We start from the raw sequence: 5,066 nt of genomic DNA, 5'->3' as shown, positions 1-5,066 counted from the left end.
GTTCTAGATCAGCCTGGGCTACAGAGAGAGACCTCGTCTCCTCTGTTTTATTTTTTTGGGCAGGGAGTCCCGCTCTGTCGCCCAGGCTGGAGTGCAGTGGCGCGATCTCGGCTCACTGCAACCTCTGCTTCCCGGGTTCAAGCGATCCCGCTGCCTCAGCCTCCCGAGTAGCTGGAATTACAGGCGCCCGCCACCAGGCCCGGCTAGTTTTTGTATTTTTAGTAGAGACCGGGTTTCACCATGTTGGCCAGGCTGGTCTCGAACTCCTGACCTCAGGTGATCCGCCCGCCTCGGCCTTCCAAAGTGCTGGGATTACAGACGTGAGACTCCGCGCCCGGCCCTTCTCTTGTAAAAACAAGAAAAATTAGACAGGCTGGTGGTGCGCGCCCGAGGTCCCAGCTATTAATACTCCCGAATCCGAGCCGGAGGTTCACCTGAGCCCGGCAGGTCAAGGCTGCTGTGAGCCGGGATCGCGCCACCGCACTCCAGCCTGGGCGACGGAGCCAGACCCAGTCTCAAAAAAAATAGAGCAAGGATAAGACGCGGCTGCTTGGTGGCCAGAGCAAACGGTAAACATGACCGGAGGACTGGCCTGCCATAAGCAGAAAACGGATGAGGCCCGGCGCGGTGGCTCACACCTGTAATCCCAGCACTTTGGGAGGCCGAGGCAGGAGGATCACCTGAGGTCAGGAGTTCGAGACCAGCCTGACCAACATGGAGAAATCCCGTCTCCACTAAAAAAATACAAAATTAGCGGGGCGTGGTGGCGCATGCCTGTAATCCCAGCTACGCAGGAGGCTGAGGCAGGAGAATCACTTGAACGCGGCAGGCGGAGGTTGCGGTGAACCGAGATCGCGCCATTGCACTCCAGGCTGGGCAACAAAGAATGAAACTCTGTCTCAAAAAAAAAAAAATAGAAAAAACGTGTGAGAACGTGAAGCTTTTTACAGACACTTAGCTGAACAAAATTCTTCCCAGAGGAGAAACCAAGTGGTAAGGATCCCTAACTGCTGTTGTGCTCATCGCTGTCTGTCCATATCAGGCAAGCCCTAGAGAGGCAGGTACCCTTAGGGTCTACATGGTGTGTTGGAACTTGGAGCTTAGAGACGGTTACTGACTGCCCTGCTTCAGGACACAGGACTGCACTCACGTGCTCCACTCCACTGCCCTGCCCCAAGCTCAGTGATGGCCTCCAGGCAGGGGGAAGGCTGCTGCTGGGATAAGTACAAGTGATGGCTTTTACCTTACATGCTTTATGTGGGTTACCTCATCTCATCCTTAAAACAGTCCTGGGAGGTGAGTGTGCCCCAGGAGGCAGTGGGTGCTGTTTGCCTGCGTTTCTTCTTGTGTGAAATGGGGACACCAGTGGCCTCCCTCGTAGGGGTTGTCATGAAAACTGAATGAGAGCATATGTGGAGTACTGGGACGGTGTGATACAGTAACCAGTCAATGGTAGCTCTCTGTGAATGAGAGCCTGTGTGGAGTACTGGGACAGTGTGATACAGTAACCAGTCAATGGTAGCTCTCTGTGAATGAGAGCCTGTGTGTAGTACTGGGACGGTGTGATACAGTAACCAGTCAATGGTAGCTCTGTGAATGAAAGCCTGTGTGGAGTACTGGGACGGTGTGATATAGTAACCAGTCAATGGTAGCTCTCTGTGAATGAGAGCCTGTGTGGAGTACTGGGACGGTGTGATATAGTAACCAGTCAATGGTAGCTCTGTGAATGAGAGCCTGTGGAGTACTGGGATTGTGTGATACAGTAACCAGTCAATGGTAGCTCTCTGTGAATGAGAGCCTGTGTGGAGTACTGGGACGGTGTGATACAGTAACCAGTCAATGGTAGCTCTCTGTGAATGAGAGCCTGTGTGGAGTACTGGGACGGTGTGATATAGTAACCAGTCAATGGTAGCTCTCTGTGAATGAGAGCCTGTGTGGAGTACTGGGACGGTGTGATATAGTAACCAGTCAATGGTAGCTCTGTGAATGAGAGCCTGTGTGGAGTACTGGGACGGTGTGATACAGTAACCAGTCAATGGTAGCTCTCTGTGAATGAGAGCCTGTGTGGAGTACTGGGACGGTGTGATACAGTAACCAGTCAATGGTAGCTCTCTGTGAATGAGAGCCTGTGTGGAGTACTGGGACGGTGTGATACAGTAACCAGTCAATGGTAGCTCTCTGTGAATGAGAGCCTGTGTGGAGTACTGGGACGGTGTGATACAGTAACCAGTCAATGGTAGCTCTCTGTGAATGAGAGCCTGTGTGGAGTACTGGGACGGTGTGATATAGTAACCAGTCAATGGTAGCTCTGTGAATGAGAGCCTGTGTGGAGTACTGGGACGGTGTGATATAGTAACCAGTCAATGGTAGCTCTGTGAATGAGAGCCTGTGTGGAGTACTGGGACGGTGTGATACAGTAACCAGTCAATGGTAGCTCTCTGTGAATGAGAGCCTGTGTGGAGTACTGGGACGGTGTGATATAGTAACCAGTCAATGGTAGCTCTGTGAATGAGAGCCTGTGTGGAGTACTGGGACGGTGTGATACAGTAACCAGTCAATGGTAGCTCTCTGTGAATGAGAGCCTGTGTGGAGTACTGGGACGGTGTGATACAGTAACCAGTCAATGGTAGCTCTCTGTGAATGAGAGCCTGTGTGGAGTACTGGGACGGTGTGATACAGTAACCAGTCAGTGGTAGCTCTCTGTGAATGAGAGCCTGTGTGGAGTACTGGGACGGTGTGATACAGTAACCAGTCAATGGTAGCTCTCTGTGAATGAGAGCCTGTGTGGAGTACTGGGACGGTGTGATATAGTAACCAGTCAATGGTAGCTCTCTGTGAATGAGAGCCTGTGTGGAGTACTGGGACGGTGTGATATAGTAACCAGTCGATGGTAGCTCCCTGTGTGACACTTATCCCCATTTTTCAGATTTCTTACTGTCCCTGGATTAAAAGTGAGATACACAGCTCAGAGAAAGCAGTTTTGGGAGGAAATATGGTCCCAGTGAGCAGTTTTCTAGTCTACTTAATCCAACTTACTTGAGGCAAGGATATTTGGAGGACTGGCATAGAGGGCCGTGCGCCCCTGTTAAGAGGTGATGCCTCGTAAATAGCACTTCATTCACTCTTGATTTTGATAAAGATCTGGGACTCAGAACTGAGGCTGTTCTCTAGCAAGATTTGGAATATAGTTTTTCTGTGTTTTTGATTACGGGTGCATTCAACTATTTAAAAGATTAAACCTTTATTATACAGTATGGTGGTGTATCAGTTTCCTATTGCTGCAGTAACACATGATCACTTAGTGACTATATAAATTTATTCTCTTACGGTTTTAGAAGTCAGAAGTCGTAATATGAAAGTGTCTGGTTGGTTATATTTATTGTGATGGTTCCCGGGGGAGAATCTGTTTCCTTGCTGCTTCTTCATCTTCAGAACCAAGGGTTGCATCTCCTCTCCCCCCTACCCTCTCTCTCCCATCCCTTTCTCCTTCCTGACTCTAGCTCTCCTGCCTCACTCTACAAGGATTCTTGTGATTACACTGCGCCCACCCAGCTAAGCAGAATCTCAAGGCCCTTAATTTAGTCAGATCTGCAAAGACCCTTTTGTCTTGTAAGATAACATTCACAGGTTTGGGGGATTAGGATGTGGGTCTTTCATGGGGGGTGTCATCCTGCCTGCCTACCACAAGTGGTTATAATCTTTCATGAGAAGTAAGGATCCTAGTCTTGGAATATGGTCATTCTGCTCTTGAGTTGAAGGTGATCCAAGGAATACCTTCAGACAAAGGAAGGGTCTTCCTTTCTTTTTTTATCTTGTTCTTTTTTTATTTTATTTTTTTTTTAGACGGAGTCTCGCTCTGTCGCCCAGGCTGGAGTGCAGTGGCATGATCCCAGCTCACTGCAAGCTCTGCCTCCTGGATTCACGCCATTCTCCTGCCTCAGCCTCCCGAGTAGCTGGGACTACAGGCGCCCGCCACCACGCCCGGCTAATTTTTCGTATTTTTAGTAGAGACGGGGTTTCACCATGTTAGCCAGGATGGTCTCAAACTCCTGGCCTCAAGTCATCCACCCTCCTTGGCCTCCCAAAGTGCTGGGATTACAGTTGTGAGCCACTGCGCCTGGCCCTCAACCTTTTTTTGAGGTAATTGTAGATTGATTCTCATGCATTTGTCAGAAATGATACAGAGATTCCCGTATCACTTCACCATAACATCTTGTGTAAGTAGAGTACAATTGTCACAACTAAGAAATTGACATTGAGACGACCCATCTAATTTATTTTATCTTATTTTATTTTATTTATTTTTTTGAGACGAAGTTTCACTCTTGTCACCCAGGCTGGAGTGCAGTGGCGCAATCTTGGCTCACTGCAACCTCCACCTCTAGGGTTCAAGTGATTCTCCTGCCTCAGCCTCCTGAGTAGCTGGGATTATAGGCCCACCCCACCACACCCAGCTAATTTATTTATTTATTTATTTATTTTTATTTATTTTTTTTTTTTTGCCGGAGTCTCGCTCTGCTGCCCAGGCTGGAGTGTGGTGGCGCGTTCTCGGCTCACTGCAAGCTCCACCTCCTGGGTTCACGCCATTCTCCTGCCTCAGCCTCCTGAGTAGCTGGGACTATAGGCACCCACCACCACGCCTGGCTAAGTTTTTGTATTTTTAGTAAAGACGGGGTTTCACTGTATTAGCAGGATGGTCTAGATCTCCTCACCTCGTGATCCGCCCGCCTCGGCCTCCCACGGTGCTGGGATTTAATTTTTTGTATTTTTAGTAGAGACAGGGTTTCACCATGCTGGCCAGGCTGGTCTCAAACTCCTGACCTCAGGTGATCCACCCGCCTTGGCCTCCCAAAGTTTTGGGATTACAGGCGTGAGCCACTGTGCCTGGCCTGACAATCCGTCTGTTTTATTCAAATCATGTCAGTGTTACATGCACTCTCATGAGCCACCGCGTCTGGCTAGTTTTATGCATTTTTAGTGTCCCAAGAGGCAACAGTGTCTAGCCATCATGACTCTTTTTGTTAGTATTCTGGTTATAAAGTTGAACAGGTTTTGAAGGGCCTGCC

At 49.2% G+C, this 5,066-nt stretch overlaps 1 protein-coding gene across 5 annotated transcripts in view; it reads left to right on the top strand.

The window, feature by feature from the left end:
• POLE (DNA polymerase epsilon, catalytic subunit) overlaps positions 1-5,066 on the top strand; it is a 63,581-nt gene that overhangs the window by 550 nt on the left and 57,965 nt on the right. The gene's annotated exons all lie outside the window — the stretch shown is intronic.

Source organism: Homo sapiens, chromosome 12 (genome assembly GCF_000001405.40).
Source record: "Homo sapiens chromosome 12, GRCh38.p14 Primary Assembly".
NCBI lineage: Eukaryota > Metazoa > Chordata > Mammalia > Primates > Hominidae > Homo > Homo sapiens.
Note: the sequence above shows the minus strand (reverse complement) of the source record. Positions and strands in the feature narration are given on the sequence as shown.